This window comes from Homo sapiens, chromosome 9 (assembly GCF_000001405.40).
Source record: "Homo sapiens chromosome 9, GRCh38.p14 Primary Assembly".
Classification (NCBI taxonomy): Eukaryota; Metazoa; Chordata; class Mammalia; order Primates; family Hominidae; genus Homo; species Homo sapiens.
Window position 1 is genome coordinate 14,356,520 of NC_000009.12, and position 23,861 is coordinate 14,380,380.

A 23,861-nucleotide genomic window follows, 5' to 3' on the forward strand; every position below is an offset into this window, starting at 1 on the left:
TGAGGGGCAGTGCAGCCCCGTGTAAAAACAGCACCGAGACAGAGCAAGAAACAACAGTGAGAGCAGGACTGATTTCGTCTCCTGTTTTTTGCCTGGGGTTTACGAGCAGGACTCCTCTCTTGCACTCCACCAGTTTCAGGATTATTAAGGGGTCCTCAGCTGGGGTGAGTTAGGAGGGCTGAGCTGGAGAGTAAAACTGGATGGTCTGAGGGTCTGGGTGATCCTGAGCACTTAATTATGAATAATGATACACTTCAGTTTTATAGTGCATGCCATACCAGTGGATTCTAATTTGGAAGGGAAACTTTTGCTCTTGCTGAAAGGAATGTCAGTCACCGGTGAGTGGTCATGGGGCTGTTATGGGGAGATCCTGTTTTTAAGGATATACACTGATTTATAGAAGCTCACTGAAAATATTATAGCGGAATGTTTGGTCAGGAGGTCTGCTTTTCTAGTTCTATTTCTGCTCAGTACTGGCTAACTGAAGAGTGTAAATTTTAAAAGAAGTAATTTCTTATGCACACTGTGCAAAATCCCTCAGGGGAATGAGTGAAAGACTGTTTGAAATGCTCTGAATTTCTTGGAAAAGAGTTGCTGTATAAATTAATATAGGGCCTTCTTTTTCATTGCAGGTCTGCAGGACACACCAAAGAACTCCTCCAAGTCACACAAGGGAGAAAATTAACTTCATTGGCTTCTATCAGGAAAGCTATTTTTTTTTTCCTCTTCTTTCCTGCAAGTTTCCCAAACCCCATGACTCTGATTTCCAGGTCAGAGACTAAGGTTTTATTTTTCTTACTCTGTATACTTTATATGTGGAGAGTCCCTGAAGGAACACTGTGATGGGCTGATTACTGTGAGCCAGTTGTGGGCCAGACCTGGCCTCAGGTGCTGCAAAGGGAATTCAGTCACCCCTGTGCAGTGATCTGTGAGCCCCAAGTCAGATCCAACTTTTTCCTGATAGACAGCACCCTCCTCCTCCCTACCAAGAAATAGCAGGGTTGGAGGTAGTGACCCAATATTCAAGAGGTTTGAAATTCTACATGAGATATTTCTGAGTTAACTCCTAAATAGCAGTTTCCTTAATCATGTGGAAAATAAGAACACTTACTAAAGAGACCATTGGTTTAAGAGAAATGGAAACTTATGTCCACGTAAAAACCTGTAAATGAATGTTCACAGCAGCCTTTTCATAATAGCCAAAAAGGGAAAGCAATCCACACGTCCATCAACCAATGAATGGATAAACTTAACGTGGGATATACGTGTAATGGAATGCTATTTGGTGAAGAAAGAAATGAAATATTAATACATGCGTTAACAAGGATGGACCTTAAAATATCATGCTAAGTAAGAGAAGCCTGTCACAAAAGAATATGTATTGTACCATTCTACTTATATGAAATTCCTAGAATAGGCAATTCTATAGGGACAGAAACTAGACTAGTGATTGGCTAGAGCTTGGGGAGAGTTTGGGGAGCCTGGAGGATGACAGCAAAGTGGTGCAGAGTTTCTTTTTAGGTTGATTAAATGTTGTAAAATTAATTGTAGTGATGGTTGTGCAACTTTGTGATTTTGTTAAAAACCATTGCATTTTGCCCTTTAAATGGATGAATTGCACAATGTGTGAATTAGACATAAGTTTATTTACATAATTAATATCTATTTATTGATATATAACTCATATATCAATAAATATATACTATATAAAATAATTTTATATTTATATAAAATGTGAATTATATATAAATACATAAATAAAACTGCTAAAAACTAAAAAATATATACTTTAAAAAAAGGCTGTTCGTTTCTTTCACATTTTCTGAGCACAATCACTTTGGGATAAATGTGTCCAGGCTTAAAAAGCCAGATTTTATGGGCTAACTAAAATGGAAATGTGAAAAACTGTGTTTTTTTCCATAGGAGGAGAGAGTCTGATTTGCAGGTACGTGCATACCCACAGCAGTCATACTTGTAATTCTTGGAAACTTTGCTGAAAGTTTTTTCCTAGCCTGAAATCATTAAAATATGTTGAAACAATGACACTGAGGACTGAGGTGGATTCGTTGTTTTTGTCTTCCCAATGTTACTTTCTCCTTCTTTAGGTAGTAGCACCCCAGTTTTCTCTAAAAGAAACCACACACCCTATTTCCAGTTCATGTGGTTTGGCTATTGCTGACCTTACACCCTAGGCTCTATGACTCAGGCCCCATCAGTCAGCGTATTTTATCCAGTGGTCTGTTGCAGCCAACTCATATCAACTCATCCAAATCAACTGGTAAATGTTCAGAAATTTCATGTGCCAGTTGTTAAACACTCACCATTAAAATTTAAAGTTCACAACCTTATAATTAAATTATGTTAAAAATGAAGGTAATGATACATCAACCTTATCATCACTTCCTAATCATTTGACTGCATTTTACTATTATTTATGCTCTTGAGTTTACTTACATCTGTTGGATCTGGTAGTAGAAACACCGGATAATGGCGTGCTGCTATACATCTCTTCCCAATTCCATGTTCATTGACTTCCCTTTGATAGCTTGAAGTTGGCCATGGTAGCAGCGTTTACACTACAGAACTGGGCAAATGCTACAAGATCAGGGTATACCCTTTCTTGCCAAGGAGATTGTTAAACTGGCAGCTGTAGTGGGTTGAATGGTGGCCCCTAAAAAGATATGTCCAAATCCTAGCCTGTGGAACTTGTGAATGTGACCTTATTTGAAAAAAGGCCTTTGCACGTGTGACTAGGTTAAGGATCTTGAGATGAAATCCTCCTGGATTATCCATGTGGGCTCTATATACAATCATGTGTACCCTTATGGGATAAAGGCAGAAGCAATTTGACACAGACACACCAAAGAGACATAAAGATAAGATGAGGAAGCAATGGCCACACAGGCCGAGATTGCAGTGATGTGGCCGGAAACCAAGGAATACCTGGAGGCACCAGAAGCTGGATGAGAAAGAAACAAAATCTCCCCCAGAGCTTCCAGAGGTAGCATGACCCTGCTGACACCTTGACTTTGGACTAGTGGCCTCCATAAATGTGAGATAATCAATTTCTTTTGTTTTAAGCCACCAGTTTTTGGAAATTTGTTATGGGAGCCATAAGAAACTATTAATAATACACCAGCTCACCACTGCAGCACTAGTGTATGGTTGAGGGATGGGCATGTGATACAAGCTAGGGCAATGGGAACTCAGCTTCTATGGTAAAACAAACACTCTCCTTCTCCCTGGGGTTGCTGGGTGGTTCCATCTTTGCTACTAGATATACCTATGAATGAAAGCAGCGCAGAAAGTAGTAAAGTTAGATTTAAAGAAAGACATTTAAAGCAGCACAGAAAGTAGTAAAGTTAGATTTAAAGAAAGGCATTGTTTAAGAAACTGGATCTATTCTACCACTAGATTTTTAAATATTACATATTATATGAGAAAATTATTTTTTTTCTTTTTAAGCCAAATTCCTAACCAATGTAGACATGCTAATTTTTGGAGAACTTTTGAAAGTGCTCATCTGCACAGAGAGCATTTTAAATACATATAGTTGTTATCACTTGGTCAGTTACTATTTAAATGAGGCATAACTAAAAAAGACAATCAGGAAAATATATAGCAAACAGTGAACAACTTAAGACCTACCTGAATTCAATCATGTTCATTTGTGCTACAAACACTTATATTAAGCCCAACCCTTATCTAAAGCATTCGATTCAGGACAGATATCCATCTATTTAAGAGCTTACAATTTATTTGCCAGTAAGAAATTTGGTATAGCCCCCATATTGAGGTCACTAGCAGTATGAACTTTTCATTATATAGTTTATAATTTTCCGAACAGTTCTAAATTCAAGTAATTTTATTATTTTTCCTAAACAGAATTTGGTTAATGCACAATTAAAATACTTTTAATTCTTTATGAGATTACATTTAACTACATCCACAAATTATAACAAAAAGTATTTTGGCAAATTGAATGATTTGGGTGGAAAAATATTATTATGGTGATTTTCTGTTTTTTTCTTTTTTTTTTTTTTGAGATGGAGTCTCACTCTGTCGCCCAGGCTGGAGTGCAGTGGCGCGATCTCGGCTCACTGCAAGCTCCGCCTCCCGGGCTCACACCATTCTCCTGCCTCAGCCTTCTGAGCAGCTGGGACTACAGGCGCCCGCCAATACGCCCGGCTAATTTTTTGTATTTTTAGTAGAGACGGGGTTTCACCTTGTTAGCCAGAATGGTCTCGATCTCCTGACCTCGTCATCCGCCCGCCTGGGCCTCCCAAAGCCTGGGCCTCAAGCCTGGGATTACAGGCTTGAGCCACCGCGCCTGGCCTTATGGTGATTTTCAGTGATGTTGTACCTTTGGTTAATTTTGTACCTTTTGATAATTTTTATTTGTTAGTGTGGAAGAGCACTTTTCTGAAAGGAACATGTCACAGAAAACCCCAGGGATAGACATATTTCATTAATTATTTTTAAAATAAAAATAAAATGATTTACATTCAGCATTTCTATCTTTAATGATTTTTCCAGGTTTAAGAGATTTCAAATTAATTTTGTCACCCATAATCCTGTTTGTTTTCCTCCACTTTCAAATACCTTTGTTTTTTGATGAGCACATTTTGGATGAATTCCCAGTCAACTTTTTAATCTAATTAAATTCAGATAAGTTTAACTCAGATAACATTTACAGTCAGCTCCTTGAGAGTTGATTAACTGGGAGCTCATCTTTCAGAATTCTTAAAAAAAAAAAAAAAAAGACTTTTGAGGATTGCTTTTTGCTAAAAGAGCCCATTACTAATGCTGATGTCACTGGCATCAGTAAACTAACACCCACTTGTCTTGGTTTAAAATGATAATAGGCTTTCAAATGCAAATATTCAAATATCATATTATTCTTCAGCACTTCTGTATTTGCTAGTAGCATTACTGATCAAAAAGAGAATTGTTCTGAATATTTTCATGAACAAGCAAGCAAACCACATCACATCACATACATGCACACACATGCATGCATGCAAGGCACATAAATGATTTCACTAATGACATATAGCATACATTAGTCAAGCAATTGTATTAATTCAAGTCTACTCTCTTTGTAGTCTAGAACAGTCTCCCTCTTTGCTACACAACAGTAGCCACTAAAATCTTTTGGAAGATTAGGATCATTCAATATGAAGTTAAAAGAAAACATGAAAAAATGAAAGCTTAGTTTTAGGATTTCCCATTTTTTTCTTAGCCCTGTAATAGCCTAAAATAAAACTTGGGAACAAATGAGGTTTACCAATGACAGGAGTAAACAGACTCAATGTAAATGTTTATAGGAAAGGCAAGGAAGCTAATTCCTTTCCATTAACAAAAAGGAGCTTTTAAATCTTACTCATTCTTGATAATGCTGGCTAATGAGAAGCCCAGCAAGTTTGCTTTTTCCTTAAAGCTGAAACAAAACTCAACACAAAAGGTGAAATACAAGGAACCAAAGAAAATCATTGATTTGTTCTTTGATGACAACTTTATGCCAGAGGTACTAGGGCCTCTCTACATTAATTGTTTTCTTCATAAGGAAACCACTATAGAAATTTAGGTGAATGGAGATAATTAAGTAGTTCTGTGGCTCCAATTCTAACATGTCTTTTTAAAAAAGAAAAAATCAAATACCCCAACATTTGCCCAGGAACCAGAGGAGAAAAATAGCCTTCTAAGAGTTAGGCCCTCAAGATATTTCAAAGCTGCCTGGACAATGACTTGGAATGACTACAATGGTGAACCATTCTGCCTTGGACCCAAATCTAGATTTATGACCTAATATATCTTTCCCAACTCTGCCTGCCATAGTTTTATGAACATCAAGAACTGGGTGTCTGCCACTGTCAACAAATAGAGCTTCTCCAGAGCATTTCCATCCACAGAAACTCAAGTATCCCCAAAGGAACATAGATCGCAGTCTTCCAAGGCTGCCTTGGGATGCCTCAGGATGCCTCTAGCTTTCACCACAAACTGTGGGGAAACTGTTTTGGCAGGATAATTCTTCAAGAAAAGGAAGAATACCTGTTACTGCCCTGTGTTTTCTTGGTTTAAGAACTTTTGGTGAGGCCAGGTCCCGTGGCTCATATCTATAATCCCACACTTCAGGAGGCCGAGGCAGGGAGGATCTCGTAAGGCCAGGAATTCGAGCCCAGCCTGGGCAACATAGAAAGACACATCTCTATGACAAATCTGAAAATTAGCCAGGCATGGTTCTGTGCACCTGCAGTCCCCGCTACTTGGGAAGGCTGAGGTGGGAGGATTGCTTGGGCCCAGGTCGTTGAGGCTGCAGTGAGCTGGGATCCTGTCACTGCACTCCAGTCTGCTTGACAGAGTGAGGCTCTGTTTCCAAAACACAAAAACAAACAAAAAAAAGGACTTTGGGTCAGAGTAGCAAGAATTCACTGAGAAGAAGCTAATGAAGCTTAGCTTAAGGGCTTCTCCTTTTTAGGGGCCTCTTCCAAACTCTTGTGCCTAATTTTATATTTGTAATTTTACATTCATTTTATTGAGTCCCTTTAATATAAGTATACACTCTACAAAATGGGGATCTGCTAGAGAAATTGCATCAAACTGAGCTAGAGAAGTTGCACCAAATTTTAGCTCAATAAAATTGTAAAAATTAAAATTAAACACAAACTCTTTGTCTTTTACGGACACTCCCTCACCCCCACTCCTGGCAAGTCACCACTGGGACTGAGACTACTCCGTTTGAGGCCCTGGTTGTCAGTTGTCCTTTCTTAACTGTGGCAGTGGTTCAAAAACTGGCTACAGTTTTCAGCTTTGCCCCTCCTTGGAAGAACACTCTACTGTGGGCTAATTATTACAATGGCTTATAGAATCTAGAGACCAGACAAGTTTCCAAGTGTGCTCCTCCTTTTGGTTAAGCGGTATCATTGTTCCGATGTCAACCAAGTTTTTGTTTTACAGTAAAGTTGATGGATTTGGACTAGGCTTCCATACTTTCCTAAGAGGTGTTTCTGAAGACCCAGCCATAGAAACATTTATTTTTTTCTGATTACGAAAGCAATGGCATGTATATGTGTGTACATATACATATATATGTGCATGTATATGTGTGTACATATACATATATATGTATATGTACACACATAAACATCTTTAAACTTTATAATATGTAGCATAGAAAGTGGAAATCCCCCGTAATCCCACACAGCTGAGAAAAGCAGTTAAAATTTTTTCAAGGCATATATTAACTTTTCACTTATTTTACAAAAAAATGGGATTATACTCTCAACTCAAAAGCATGCCGTTTTCTATCTAGCAATATGTCTTAGACATCTTTCCATGTCAGTTGGTAAAAACTTATCATCTTTTTAATCTTCTATTAAATAGCTCCATGAAATTGTATTGTATGGCTGAACCATACTCTCCTTAACCAATTGCCTATTAATTCACCTTTGAGTTCTTTCCAGTTTTTCCTGTAACAAATATTCTTGCAAACATCATTTTACTCTTAAACATCTTTGAGCAGTTGTAGAGTCTTTCTCTACAGTGAATTCCCAGGAGATGAATTATTATTGGGTCAAAGGGTATGAGTATTTCATTTTTAATAGCTATTGCCAAATTGCCCTCCAATAATTTTATACCCATTTACACTCACAGCCACAGTGTAAGAAATTGTCTGTTTCCCCACCCTCTTAGCAACCCTAAAATCGTGCAATTTGGGAATGTCTGAAGTGAGTTAGGAGTTAACAGGTTCAGCCTGTGGAGTTTTTTTGGCTTTGTGAAGTTTGTTGGCTTTGTGAAAAGCCAACGAAGAGATCAAAAGTCTCTCCCTTTCCTTGATGAACTCCCTGCTCTGGGTGAGCCAACTGCCCAGACAGACATCTAGTTAATGCGAGAGGTGAAAATTCTAATGCTTAATACTAGCGTCTGGCTGGATTTATTAGAAACAATTTGTCTCTGAATGTATAAGAAAATGTGTTAGTGAGAAAATACCTAATAATTATTAAAGAAATAGAAATGGGTCCTTACTTTTTAATATAACAACACATTTCATCTTACAGCATCAGAATGTTTATATCTGCACAATTCTTTGATTTCATTCCTACATTTATTGGATCAAAATAGTTTTAAAAATCTAGTCTTCAAAGGTGTGTGAAAAGTGACCCTGAGCCAGCCCTTTAAGGAAGAGCAAGGTTTGCCAATATCCAGTCTTAAAGAGCACGTTTTGACAGTTACTATGGTTTACCTCTCCAGAATTAGGATAATTGGGCATTAGAATAAAAAGAAATTTTAGGAGTTTTCTAGTAAAAACATTATCAAACTCTGCTCCACATAAAGCCTCAGGGTTGCTTCAGAGAGATGAGAGGGTAATGGAGGAACAAGACAGCAGGGTGATTTAAGAGTTCTTGGTAATCTAACAGCAATTCCACCACATCAACCCCATTTTGATCTGTGCCATATAGTGGGCTGTGTATTATGTTTTCTGAGGCACGTTAATTTCTCATTTTCATTGTCTGTAAAATAGGCCTAACAATAGTTCCAATTTCAGAGTAGTGAAGATTAAATTAAATAACACTACCCATGTAAAGTGCTTAGCCCAGTGTCCTGCACATGCCAAGGACTTAGTAAATGTTGGCTATTTTATCTAAGATTTTGCTCTGAAACAGAATTCTGCTGCTAAAAAATAAATTTCGAGACCACCGTTTATGTTTGTCATCTCTAAAATAAGATGATTATTTCAGATGTAATGGTTTCACATTTTATTTGTTTCCTGCTTCCCAGTCCAATGGTCGTTTTCAGACCCTCTCATTCTTGGACCCCAGTCCAATTTTGCTGAGAATGCTAAAGGCTCTGAGGATAATGTGTCTTCCCACACCCCAGGAGACTCCACTCACCACCAAGTGTGGCCAGACCATGGCTATTCTGTCTGTGTTCCTGTTGATTTGTAGAAGAAAGATGGTAGTACAAAAGTTTTCCCTGCCCTGTGGGATAAGATCCCTGCAGGTAGACCAGGAGGAATAAGCATGACAGTTGTAAAATCTTAGAAATATTACTTAGCTTCCATCTTTTCCATAATGATGAGTTCATCTGAAGGAGTTCAGAAATAGATTCTTATACCTTCTAAGACTGGCTGGATTTTCTATTCTTGGCCAGACGTTTGTTCTAGGAAGAATTCATCCAACAAACATATGCTCTTATCAATTATTTTCTTAGGAAAGCTTGTCCTAGTATAGGGGAAGTTTTTAAGTTTTTCTAATGAATCACAGACATGAGGCAGGAGGGAGAGAGTATCAAGCGTGTTCCTTTCTGACTGATCTAACGTGAGACCAAAAACTATGGAGTAAGAGCAAAACCTCCCAAACTGTACATCTTTTCTACCCAGGAACTCCTTCCATGCCAGTCACTGCTGATGCCTGAGAGCCAGATGTGGGCTTAGGGATCAGTTTCTCTATGTCAGGGCCATTCAGAGTCTGTAGCTGACTTAGGAACAAGTAGATGTAAAACCTAGAATTAAAGGCTGAAAACAGCATTTAATGAAACCCCTCCCTCCAGACGCTCCTGATCAAAGTCTACCCTTGCACTAAGACAATTGATCTACAGTTGCATTATATAAAATTTTGGCAACACTCTGTCCTCATTGCTTTCAACAGAGGCTTTAGGCCCCTGAATCTGGGCATCGTCCCAGAATTGAGATCCAGTTGCATTACGCATACCAGAAGACACACCACCACAGCCGAGGCCCGTGCAACCACTTTCTTTTAACCTCGCGTCTGTGAAAAATTACTTTCCAAAAAATAAGTGAAACCCGATGTCTTCTCCGGGTGGTTATTTTTGCGCCTATGAAGTCAATAAAACTCTCCAGATTTATTAGACAGTCCTGCTGCTGAAGACAAGACCACTTCCTATTCCCTAGCGGATATGTGTGTCTTTCCTTTCTGTAACCTTCTGACCACAGATTTTAATTTTATTCTTTTTTTTTTTCTTCTTGAGACAGAGTCTTGCTCTGTCAACCAGGCTGGAGTGCAGTGACATGATCTCAGCTCACTGCAACCTCCGCCTTCCAGGTTCAAATGATTCTCCTGCTGCAGCCTCCCGAGTAGTTGGGATAACAGGCACGTGCCACCATACCTGGCTAGTTTTTTGTATTTTTAGTAGAGATGGGTTTCACCATGTTGGCCAGGCTGGTCTCGAACTCCTGACCTCTTGATGTGCCTGCCTCGGCCTCCCAAAGTGTTGGGATTACAGGCATGAGCCACCGTGCCTGGATGAATTTTATTCTTTTTAAATTTTTTTCCCAAAAAATCTGTCAGAACCCTCTAGGACAAGTGGCTTGGCCTGCACTGAAATTCCAATCTCTTGCACTGAAGAGTGATGAAATGAACACATTTCAGGCACCTCCAGCTTTTCTTCTTTACCTCCTACTTCAGAGGGCCCTGTTTTCTTTGCATCAGAATCAACAAGAGTTTTGGCTGTCTCTCCTTCCACCACTCTAAACGCTAAATGTAACACTTATCAACAAATTATACTCCTGTAAGAGTCCACTAACCCTGAGTTGATGACCATGATAATGACATTGGATTCAATTCTACTCAGTGCAACAGTATTTACTGGGCCCCTACCCTATGCAGGTGCTCTACTTGGGTATGGGAATGCAAAACTATAGAAGATAATGTGCATTCTTTCAAGGAGTGTCAGGTCTACTAGGGGAGACAAACATGTTAACAAGGAAACATTATTAATTGTGACAGTTTCCATAGTGAACTCAGAGTCTTGTGTGGGTACAAAGACTAAATATGGAAAGGCTAGGAAAGGCTTTTCAGATGAGATGTCTCTTGAGCTGTGTGTTTCAAGATGAGTAGGGGTTCATCAGGTGATCCTGGGGAAGACATGCCAAGCAGAGGGACTAGTAAGTGCAGAGGGATCAGAGGTGTGAAACAGAAGGGCACATCTGAGATCTAAGAAGTTGTGAATTGGGAATGAGGGTCAAAAGGTTGTAAGCAACCTGTGTTCCTCCATGAATATGGGTGTGTATTTTCGTTGATAGGGAAATGCTGAGGGGGTTTAAGCCTTAGAGCAATTGATACATGAGAGGGCAAAGACTTGGAAGCAACCCAAATGCCCATCAATGATAGACTGGATAAAGAAAATGTGGCACATATACACCATGGAATACTATGCAGCCATAAAAAAGAATGAGTTCATGTCCTTTGCAGGGACATGGATGAAGCTGGAAACCATCATTCTCAGCAGACTAACACAGGAACAGAAAACCAAACACCGCACGTTCTCACTCATAAGAGGGAGTTGAACAATGGGAACACATGGACACACGGAGGGGAACATCACACACCGGGGCCTGTCAGGGGGTGAGGGGCTAAGGGAGGGATAGCATTAGGAGAAATACCTAATGTAGATGACAGGTTGATGGGTGCAGCAAACCTCCATGGCACGTGTATACCTATGTAACAAACCTGCACGTTCTGCACATGTATCCCAGGTACCAAACATGGCACATGTACACTTATGTACACCTATGTACACCATGGCACATGTACCAAACTTGGGACATGTATACCTATGTACAAAACCTGCACGTTCTGCACATGTATCTTACGTGTAAAGTAAGTAAAGTAAGATTAAAAAAAAAAAAAAGAGAGACAGAGGGAAACAAGTGGCTGGATGCTGTCCTGAGAGAAATGAAGAGAGCTTGAACTAGGCCAATGTTGAGGGAATGAAGAGGAAGATTTAAGATGACAGCCAAGAAGCAGACATAAAGAGGTAGTAATATGGTAAAGATTTCCACCCCAGAATGACTTTAAGTAGTTTGTATTTCATTATTTATGAGTAAAAATTACTCCTGAAATGCTTTTAAAAGTTGTTTACTTACTAATAAATATTTTTCTGCACTTACTTCCAAAAATGATGTGAGGTAGGAAAAGAACTCTGTAGCTACGGACAGGGCCACCGTGTTTCACCAGGCAGACTGGTTACGGTGCAACTGCACACACAACTCCTTGGAGTGGTACAGAGTGGCAGCCTTGGCCATCTTGAACTGATAAGCATTTCTCGACCATTATCTTTGGTTCAGTCATCTGAATAACATTTAAAGAGATTTATACCAGTGCTATCTTGACTAACTTCAGTTTTGATTATCTTCATGTTAATATGCCATATTATCTCAATTTAACTGGCATCTTCTTTGGATGATGTCTTCTACTCCATTCCCTCATATTTTGGTGCTTTCAGAGAGAGAAGGTGCTTATGTCTGCATAGCTCATTTAGTTTGACAAAGGAAAGGAGATGTAGTATAGCATTTTGGGAGTCAGATGACCCTTATTGTTCCCGTGAACTTGTGCAAGGTACCTGAGCTCAGTTTTCCCAACTATATAGGGACAATATCAATGCCTACCTCACAGGTTTGGTGTAAAAATTAAATGAACCAAGAATAGAAAGTGATTGGCACATATAGTAAGTGACAGGTTTTTGGTACTGTGTATCATGCACTGTGCCTGATACATAATATCTCATTGCAATCTAGTAGTTTTACAGAAAAGGAAATTTAAGCTCTTTGAGGGTAGGGTTTATTTATCATTATATTCCCAGACCCCAGAATAATGTCTGCCTCAAAGCAGCTAAGCGAGGTTAAACAGTAACTCGTCCAAGGTCAAACAGCTAGCTAGTAGTATGACGATCAGCGTTCAGACTTGTGTCTGCATCATTTCAAGCACAGTGATTTCCCAATCTTATTGTATTAAAGAAGATGATGTGGAAGCTGGTCGAAGGGCTGTTCTGTGCCTTCTTTTACTACCAGTTTTCAAATTATCTAATTATCATCGGGTTAGGCTTCTCAGGATAATTAGTTTCCATCTGTATCATTAAAAGTCATTTGCAGAGTATTTCCACAGGGGTCCATCTCATAGCCAACAGTTCTTCCTTCTGGAGCCATGGTTCCATGTTGTTGATGCCTTCTGGGTAGATCTACCTACCAGAGTCTTCAGAAGGTGCTTCAGCTTTAACATCTCCAAGCCAGAACTCCTCAATCAGCCCCACCTCTCCCTTCCCCACACACACCCTCCCAAAGCTCTGCTTTCCCTCATGTCTTGATAGATGGCATTTCCATATATCTGGCACTCAAGTTAGAGATTTTGGACCCAACTTCTACTCCTTCTTTTCTCCTAATTAGTCACCACGTTTTATTGTTTCTACCTCAAAAAAGGTTTTCAAATCTAGCTTTTCCTTTTCATCACAGCTTCTACTCCTTAATTCAGTACTTCACCATCTTTGGCCTGATATATTTGGACAGCTTCCTAATTGACCTTCTTACTTTCAGTCCCTTCCATCACCAGCCCACTGTAGGTAAAATTAGACTCTCATAACCTAGAGCAGATCAGACATTCTCCATCTCTGAAAACTTTGGGGGCTATCTCTTTACCCCCAGGGTAAGACAAGGTTATGTCCTACTGTGTATGACTATACTTAAAACCAATCCCAGGCAGCTTTTCCTGTCACTCACCTTGTATGTTCTTGGCTTTAGCTATTTTGAACCATTCGCCATCTCCAAACACCCAGTACATTTTACGACTTTGTGCCTCCCTTCAAGCAGCTTTCTCTGCCTAGAATAACCTTCACCTCCTTACTGGCTCATTCCTGAAAGCCTAGCTCAATATCACATCCTGGGTGAAGCTTTTCCACTCTTACCCCCATCGGACTCAAGGACAATTAATGGCTCCCTCTTCGCATTTATCATAGCACTTCCAATATTTTTATCAAAGTTAGTTATTTGTATATTAATGGTCTATGGAGCCATAAGGTCAAGGACTACTTAATTCATTGATGTAACCCCAACCCCAACACAAGGGTAGTTAACTGTTTTTTTTAGTCAAGAAAAAATTGTACATTGGCTTTTTAAAAATTAAAGGAATAAGAGTGTAAATGATAAGAGGAAGCCAAATCACGTAGAAGGTGGGATAATAACAGATGTTTGAGAATGCTGGTCTAGCCCACAGTGTAAATATGTGTTAAATTTGTGAACATATCTACTTTATAAACACTTGACTTCACTGTAGGCACAACCTGGTTCCATAACAAAGGTAAGAAATAACCATGTAAAGAACAGATTCATCTCAGGATCACACGACACTGGAACTCCATAAAAATCAGATCCCTCCTAATAGTGAGGTTCCTTCAGACTTGGAGACTTTCTTACCCTGTTATGGGTCACCTTTGCCATAGGGCTTTTTTGACCCCTGCTCTTCTGGAAATGCTATCAATTTCTTTGTTTAAATGCTAATGTCCAGGCTGGGCACAGTGGCTCATGCCTGTAATTCCAGCAGTTTGGGAGGCCGAGGCGGGTGGATCACTTGAGGTCGGGAGTTCAAGACCAGCCTGGCCAACGTGGCGAAACCCCATCTCTACAAAAAATACAAAAATTAGCCGGGCATGATGGTGGGCACCTGTAATCCCAGCTATTCAGGAGGCTGAGGCAGGAGAATCACTTGAACCCAGGAAGCAGAGGTTGCAGTGAGCTGAGATTGTGCCACTGCACTCCAGCCTGGGTGATAGAGCGAGACCCTGTCTCAAAAAAACCAAACCAAAACAAAACAAACAAACAAACAAACAAACAAAAACACACACACACCAACTATATGTCCAACCTGCCAGAGGACCAACCTTTTCTTATAGCTATGCAAGGCCTCAGTCATCTCTGGAACTTTTCATATCTTTTCCATCATTATATGTTAGCTTTGGACATGAGGTTTTACTTTTATGTTGTAGGAGAAAACACTAGTATAAAGAACTGTAATACTAAAAATAATCTAAGTTCCTTCTTCTTAGGGTAGGCAGTCTAGAAATCCTTGTTGAAGCGTTTTCAGTGGTATTATAGGATTTGTTTTGAAGAAGGTCAGATCTCACTGGCTGGGGAGTCAGGGGCTATAGGATCTCATTCTGGTTCTGCCACTAGTTACTTGGGTGATCTCTGGGCAAGTCACTTAGACTTTAGTCCTCTCCTATGTCTCAGAAATAAAAAAGGTTGCAAATTGGGAACACCTAGGCTACATTTGGCCCACAGAAACACTTAGTTTGCCTGTAACAGTATTTAAATGAGTTGATAATTTAGTTGGGAAACTTTACATAAGAACATAGGTTTTTACTTTCCCTTGAGAAATCAGAAGATCTGGCCACAGGAGTGGCCATTCCTATTCATTTGGTAGTAGCTACCCCCTTTAACAGGGAAGGGGCTCTCCAGGGCTCCAGTGACTCCATCAATTCCTATTGCCCTTTTGGTTTGCCCTAAACAGAGACAAAATACCAACTGCTATTTGTCAATGTACTTGTTCTCAGCAATATTAAAAATATTTAACTACGAAGGAATGGGAACTGACTGATTGGAATGGACACTGACTTTTGTGCTAGAGCAGCTCCTGGATGCTCCCCACTCTGCTCCAATTGGTCATGGGGAGGTCCAAGAACTCTTGGAAGAGAAGCTGAGGATGAGCCTCACTCGGTGAGCTTAGAGCACCATCTCTACATGAGTTGGTAAGGACCATCCCAATCTCAGGTGCGCACCATCTGAATGTCAGCCCTGCCAAAACTGTTTTTTTTTTCAAAGTGGAGATAGATATTTCCATACCCATGGCTCTTATTGAAAACAAGAAAATGAAATAAAAATAGAAAAAAAAAGCAGAACGATTTTTCGTGCTCTGGCTTGCTTTGTTCATTTATGAACTGGCCTCTATAAACATCTGAGTTTGATTTCCTGGTACTAACCAACCTAAAACTCTCTTCCAGCTTAAGCATAAGGAGCCTCTAATTTTATCCATTTTATAAATGGAGTGAAAATTTTGCAAAACATGTTGAAGAGAGGGCATTATACAGAATTTATATAAGATCTAAACCACTGATCGAAATAATAAATCACCAATAAATTATCTCTGTTTTCTTATCAAGCTTTTCAATTTTAAAAGCACTTTGATGTTCTTTTTCTTTTTTTCATTTTTCATTTAGCTGTGGCTATTTTTCAAATGGAATTAATGACCAAAAGCTAGCCTTATTCTCTAATTACAGTAAGAGACACTAGACAGGAGTTGTTCCAGACACTGACCCATCTTGGCTCAGGGAGAGGCTCTGGGCGGTTTTACTGTGTGCTGGCTTAGTACCTGGGGCCAGGAAACATCTGTTATAACATGTGGTCCAGCGGGTGCCCTGCTTAATTATAAAATGGCATTGCAGTGTCCCTTTGAGTTGGCTGGCTGTAGCTTCTAATGCTATGCTATCAAGCAAAATGTAATTCTTGATGTCCTGTGAACTGAACCTCTAACTCAAGTGTTGAATCACTCAGAGAAGAATAAAAAAAGTTAAACCTTTGCCCTCAGGAAAAAGGTATAGGGAAAGACAAAACAAAGAAATGCTTTCTAACAGCAACTGAGAAGCTTAGATATGAGCAAGCATCCCTTATACAGGGAACGGTGGTGGGGGGTGGGGACTGATTCCAGAATGACTCACACTTCTAGAATGAGCTGTTTATATAGCGTTTCCTCCTCTTCATTCCAGGGATCCTGTTAGGAAGGTCAGGGACAATGACAATCAAGAAGCAAAGGGAACACTGGAGAAGGGTGGTGGGAATGCTTGGAACACCAAAAGATTCATTCACCTTGAATAAGAGGACAGATTTCTGTAAAGGGTTATGCAATCAGCTGTGGCCCAGGACCTAACAATTTATTGTTGGAACATGTACACCTGGGAATTCTTTTTACAGTGGTGTGAATCTCTTATTAGCATTTATGAGAACTTACCTTCCCAAATCCTCTTATATGCAGATGGGAGTATAGAGCCCATTGCCAGCAGTGTCTGCTTAGGAATATCTTTTGTCTTATAGCCTGTTGTAATCACTTCCAGACCAGTGGTATATTTATGATTTACATCATGTTACAGAGGAATAAGTCTTAAGGATTCTTTTCTCTAAATCTTTTTGAATTATTGTTTTAGACTCATTGCCAGGTTTTTTTTTAAAGGGGGAAGTTGATGAACTTTTAAATATGTCATTACATGCTCCAAAATGGCAACTCTTTGTTCTTTTACAGTTTCTTGTAGAAAGACATTTAAAGGGCTGTGTGTGTCCACATGAGTGTGTGTGTGTGTGTGTGTGTGTGTGTGTGTGTGTGGTGTTTAGAAACAGGTAGATAAAGAAAATGAGTGAAAAGGAACACCTGAAGTTCATATTTTGTGTTTTTGTTGGAATAAGATTTGGCAGGTTTGGGGGAATCTTATCTAACATTTGGGGAGAGTTTAGGAAGGGCAGATCCACATTCATTTTAATTATGTTTCAATCACCAGGGGCAGCAACTGAAGGGTTAAGCCCTAAAGCAAGGAAATATCTCTAAGTCAGAAAACAAAGGGAAACTTGCATATTTCTGAAGATGACATCGGATCAGCTTGTGGATTTCAAGCAATTATGCGATGTGATGATTCCCACTGAGTATGCGTTAGTTGGAATACTGTTCTTTTTATTTCTCCATGTCCTGGGGTTGTACACTGAAAGAGCCCTGTTCAACTTCGAATGTCAGGGTTTTGAAGGCAAAATTATAGTAAAATATGTTTTAAAACAGTGGGGCCTTATATGAGTGAATATAACATTTTCCAAGGCTTTCAAAAATCCTTTTGTTAAAAATACGGTTCTTATTTTGTTTCTTCTTTCCTTTCTTTCTTTTTAAATTATTTTCTTTTATTCAGGCTTTTGCCTCCCCTCCTTCCCAAAGAAAAGAAGAGAGAAGTTTCAAAGGATATCTATAACCCAGTCTACATTTAGGGCCTGGGGACACATAATGGAGTTATTTTAAATGGGACACCCCACATGGAAAATAAGTGAGAAAAGTTCATCTGTGTCTGTTACTTCAGTACCAGCAGCAATGGTGACAGTCATAGTATCTCAGTAAATGTCCCCTAGAGTCATCTTGTGAGAAAAATGATTATTAATTGAGGTTTCTGTGAGTTGAGAAATGGGTTGTTTACAAAGGAGAGAAACTTTTTTAGAGTACAAGCAGCTGAAGTCTCAGCTCAGGAGTTGCTCTAAAAGAAGAAATGTCTTTTAAAAATTGAATTAATTAAAAACAAAGCCAGGCACAGAGGCTCACGCCTGTAGTCCCAGCACTTTGTGAGGCTGAAGCGGGTGGATCACTTGCGGTCGGGAGTTCGAGACCAGCCTGGCCAACATGGTGAAACCCTGTCTCTACTAAAAATACAAAAATTACACAGCAATGGTGGCATGTGCTTGTAGATCCAGTTACTCAGGAAGCTGAGGCAGGAAAATCACTTGAATCAGGGAGGCAGAGGTTGCAGTGAGACAAGATTGCGCCACTGCACTCCAGCCTGGGCAACAGAGCTAGACTCTGTCTCAAAATAAATAAATAAATAAATAAATAAAGGAATTAATTAAAAACAAAACAAAAAGCAGGCATAGCAAAAGGCATAGTTTAGGAATGATGATGAATGAATGTCACGTTTATTTTATTACATGCTATGCTTCCTCCCAAAGGAGAGAAGTAGTTTGTTCAGTAAGGATTTGTATTTAACTGGCAGTAACAGAGACCAGACTTCAATGTCTTAAACATCCAAGACTTATTCCCAACATAAGAGAAACTCTACCTCTGGATGCACAGGGCTCATATAGTGGTTCCTCAGAGTCATCAGAGCCCTAGGCTCTTTCTATCTCTCTGCTCTTCCAGTCTTAGGCCATGATATCCCTCTAGTTATCATTTATTCTCTCCAATCATGAAAAAGGAAAAGAGGAAGGCAAAATGAGAACCCCTCCTAGCTTAGTTAGTTCCTTTTAAGGAGCTTCTCCAGAAGTACCTGGGGACAGGGCCAGGTGCAGTGGCTCATGCCTGTAATCCCAGCACTTTGGGAGGCCAAGGTGGGTGGATCACAAGGTCAGCAGTTCGAGACCAGCCTGACCAACATGGTGAAACCCCGTCTCTACTAAAAATACAAACAAATTATCTGGGCGTGGAGGTGGGCACCTGCAATCCCAGCGACTTGGGAGGCCGAGGCAGAAGAATCGCTTGAAACCGGAAGGTGGAGGTTGCAGTGAGCTGAGATTGCACCACTGCACTCTAGCCTGGGCAAAAAGAGCAAAAACTCCATCTCAAAAAAAAAAAAGAAAAACCTGGGAACATTTTCACTTACAGCTCATTGGTCAGACCTTTGACACACGGCCACACTTAGCTGCAAGGGAACCTGGTAAGGGAATCTTTTAAGAGGAAAAATTACTGTCCCAAATGAAGTCAGAGTTCTGTTACTAGTAATAACAGAAGAGCAAGTATGGGATGGGAAATTAAAAGTCCTTGTCATACTCACATATAACATCCTTAGAGCTGATACATCATCCAAGGCTTATTCACTGCTTCCGTTTGAATTATGTGGTGTTTAAGGCACTAGCTTGAGAACCCAGTCTGCTGTGCATTATCTCAGAGTACATGGCCAAAATAAATACTTTCACACATCACTGATTGTTTCTTCATTTGAGTAGTTTAAGCTATGGAACTTTTTAAAAAAAGAGATGGGTCTTGCTAAGTTGTCCAGGCTGGAGGGCAGTGGCTATGCACAGGCATGACCATAGCACACTACAGTCTTAAACTCCTGGGCTCAAGTGATCCTCCCACTTCAGCCTCCCAAATGGCTGGGACTACAGGGATGCCACCATGTTCAGTTTAAGCTATGGAACTTTTTGTGTGCATAACTAAAGAGCAGAAAATTCCACATTACTGTTGGAGCTTACAATCATGTTTTAAACATAATTTTTAAAAAAGTTAACATTTTGGAATATTTGTGGGCTTATAAATGAAAAAAGGAAGAAATAGTAAAGAGTAGCTTCAACTTAGAAGACACTATTTCCTGCAGGGATGACCACTGTACCCTCAAATATCTTCACTGCTTGAATATCTTCACTTCTCTCTTTCATACTGCTTAACATTCCACTGGTTAAAGAGCACTTCTAAAAGTGTCATTTTTTTTTTTTTTTTGATACAGGGTTTCACTCTGTCGTTCAGGGTGGAGTGCAGTGGCATGATCTCTGCTCATTGCAACCTCCGCCTCCCAGGTTCAAGTGATTCTCCTCCGTCAACCTCCCCAGTAGCTGGGATTACAGATGGAAGCTACCACGCCCAGCTGATTTTTATATTTTTGGGTAGAGACAGGGTTTCACCATGTTGGCCAGGCTGATCTCAAATTCCTGACCTCAGGTGATCCGCTCACCTCAGCCTCCCAAGGTGCTGGGATTACAGGCATGAGCCACTGCGCCTGGCTTAAAAGTGCCATTTTTTTTAAAAAAAGAGAGAAAGTTATTACTCATTCAAAAATCTGTGTCACTTACTTTAATCAGATTGCCTTCCTACAATGATACAACTTCACTGCATGGAAGGTGTTTATCTGTCTAGTTTTTCTTCTCATTTGAGAAATAAAATATACTCAAGGCCAAAATTTCAATCTGACCAAAAAGATATACTGTATAAAATAAATCACCTTTCACCCCAAATTCTGAGATTCTTTCCCTCCATGAAGCAATAATAAGTAAACGGTTTGTGGGTATTATTGAAGAGATATACTCTGCATGCTTAAGTATACACAAGTGTTAACACACATACACATACCCACAATGCAAATATATAAAAATTCTTTTGTTTCACCCAAATGAGCATGTAGTGTGTGTATTATTATGTGCCATTTAAAGACAGAGTCTCACTCTGTTCCCAAGACTGGGGTGCAATGGGATGATCAAAGCTCACTCCAGCCTCAAACTCCTGGATTAATCCTTACGCCTCAGCCTTCTGAGTAGCCAGGACTACAAGTGCACACCACCACACCTGGCTATTTTTTCTTTTATTTTTCCTAGAAATGGGGTCTTGCTCTATTGTCTATGCTTGTCTCTATTCCTGACCTCAAGTCATCTCCTGCCTCAGTCTCCCAAAGTGCTAGGATTACAGGCAAGAGCCACCGTGCCTGGCCTGGAGAATGCTTTTCATCAGCACCTATACCCAGTACATTAAAAGAAAAGACTCTGTTAAAGTAGAAGCTTTTGGTAGGGGAAGAGAATACTGTATTTTTGAAAGACGGAGCATTTTGTTTCAATATTTTATTGTGAAGGTTATAGCAGCCTAGGGCTTATAAAGGAAAATTTTAAGAGGAAGGAAAAGGGTGGATTGACCTGGAACTCTATTGACCTAATAGCTAGCTGTGCCCAGGCCCCAAATGTAGACTGGGTTATAGATATCCTTTGAAACTTCTCTCTTCTTTTCTTTGGGAAGAAGCGGAGGTGAAAGCCTGAATAAAAGAAAATAATTTAAAAAGAACTTCTGAATTTCCCTAAGACAATCCCCACTTACGCCTATTTTCCTATGATAGTTTTTAATAGTCCCCACTTTCATCCTCAAAGTGGTCCCAGTTTGGATGACAAATCTGTGATCACTCTAGTAGTGATCACTCTAGTAGTAACTAATGGACAGATTAACTAGCTAGGATCAGCTGAAAGGATTACAAAGGTGCTCCACACCAGCTGAGGGTGGGGGCTTGTCTGGATGAGACATTGGCTCACATTTTTATGAGTGGCATGATCTGATTAAGTTAATTAACTACTGTTTTCCTCAGTTTCCTCTGCTTTCCAAAGGGAATAATAATTGCTTCAGAATGGTATTATAAACATTTCATAAAGGAATGCACGTGAGAGATTTATCTGGTTCATATTTAGGCTCAATATCTGGTTCATATGTAGGGCTCAATAAATGCAGCTATTTATATTACTTATTATTTTCACATCCCTCCTTCCAACTACTTTATTCTTTTCTTTCTTTCGTTCTTTTTTTGTTTTGAGATGGAGTCTCGCTCTGTCACCAGGCTGGAGTGCAGTGGCGCAATTTTGGCTCACTGCAACCTCCGCCTCCCGGGTTCAAGCGATTCTCCTGCCTCAGCCTCCTGAGTAGCTGGGACTATAGGCACGCGCCACCACGCCCAGCTAGTTTTTGTATTTTTAGTAGAGACGGGGTTTCACCATATCGGCCAGGATGGACTCAATCTCCTGACCTTGCAATCCACCCGCATGGGCCTCCCAAAGTGTTGGGATTACAGGCGTGAGCCACCACACCCAGCCCCAATTACTTTATTCTTACACAGCACAAAATGTTATTGATTAGGGTTTGTTTAGGTGAACAGGCATCATCTGCAAAAATGGGTCATGGTACAGCCACTTAAGAAGAAAAAAATGAGGTAAGCATAGGACCGTGATTGTTACCTGGAGGGACCTATCCCATCCCTGCCCACCCTCCGGCCCTACAGAAGAGATAAATCAGGGTGTAGTTTGAAAACACAGCAGCACCTTGTACTTCTGATTTGATTTGACCTTGGTTTTGATGTGAAAAATTTTTAAAGTTCAGTAACATTGAGAAGGATGGAAGCCTCCCACAATTAACAAAGAAGAAAGGCATTTGAGATGATAGAGAGGCACGCATTGTTGCTATCTGTATTACACAAGCAGAGTTCACAGGTATTCACAACCTGTTGATGATGGAATTACCTCAAAGAGAGGGCTCAGAACTTATAACCAATCACCTCTCAGCATATCTTACCATCTGGTGTATCTCTCTTTCTACATTTATTACTTCACCCCATATCGTCCCTTCATGACTCTGTTTCTAATACCAAACAATGAATGACAATTGTTTGCTGAGACAACCTGAAACTCCTGAGGCCTTTTAGGGAAGGATAAAGGAAGCTTGACTGAGCAGGAGTGGGAGTGGAAAGACAGAGCTATTGAAAGAGCAGGAACAGGTATTTTACTTCATATTCATTTTCTTAAAATTGAATTATGTTTCTGTGAAAAGCTGCTGTGTAAAATAACAACCTCTTTATGGTTTCACCAGCTGAGACATAAAAGACTATTTGTGGTGTGCTGTAAGATCCGAATGCAGGTGAAAATTCCCCCACTTACTCGCTATTTTAACGAAAATAAGAATAATGTTTTGTAAATAACCTGACTCATAAGGATCTCAAAGTCCTTATGTCACTGTGGTATTATATCGTCACTTTGGCTCTGCATGAGAGGGTTACAAGAGAGCTTAATTTACAATCACACTGCAGAATTTCCTTCTTTTTCTTCTTAGGTTATCAGATTTTATTTATTTATTTATTTATTTTTGGAGATGGAGTTTTGCTCTTGTCGCCCAGGCTGGAGTGCAATGGCATAATCTTGGCTCACTGCAACCTCCGCCTCCCGGGTTCAAGCAATTCTCCTACCTCAGCCTCCCGAGTAGCTGGAATTACAGGTGCCTGCCACCACACCCAGCTAGTTTTTGTATTTTTAGTAGAGACGGGGTTTCACCATGTTGGCCAGGCTGGTCTCGAACTCCTGACCTCAGGTGATCCGCCCACTTCAGCCTCCCAAAGTACTGGGATTACAGGTGTGAGCCACCGCACCCAGTCAGATTTTTTTTTTTTAATTGAAGAAAACAAAGTCTCATTTGACCCTTTGGGAACAGGATATAGGAATATTTCTGGCTTCTGCCATTACTTCTTATTCAAATAATATACAATTTTCTAAACACATTTAAAATAATGGACTCAATCCAATAAATAGACTCACCTCTGCTGCTACTACAAGTTAGTGGAAAATTCTGAATGACAGGCAGCACCACAAAAACTCCCTTTTACCAAGGTCTGCAATGCTTCTGGGTCTTCCACCATGAGAAGCTCCATGGAAGCAAGGGAAAGCCAGTTCAACCACAATCACTGAGGTGATGAAGGGGTTTACAAAAGGGGAATTCAGAGCTGAGGGCTAAAGGCAAAATGTAAAAACAAACTAGGACTGATGCTTGCCTAAT

The 23,861-nt window shown here is 40.0% G+C and overlaps 1 protein-coding gene and 1 long non-coding RNA gene across 8 annotated transcripts in view; one reads left to right on the plus strand and one right to left on the minus strand.

Moving 5' to 3' along the window:
- NFIB-AS1 (NFIB antisense RNA 1) overlaps positions 1-2,045 on the plus strand; it is a 41,478-nt gene extending 39,433 nt beyond the window's left edge. For all 3 annotated transcript variants that reach the window (NR_186536.1, NR_186537.1, NR_186538.1), the window contains exon 2: positions 633-2,045. This is a non-coding gene — a long non-coding RNA (NFIB antisense RNA 1). The remainder of the gene's footprint in view (positions 1-632) is intronic.
- Positions 1-23,861, minus strand: part of NFIB (nuclear factor I B) — a 450,235-nt gene that overhangs the window by 274,677 nt on the left and 151,697 nt on the right. The window lies entirely within an intron of this gene.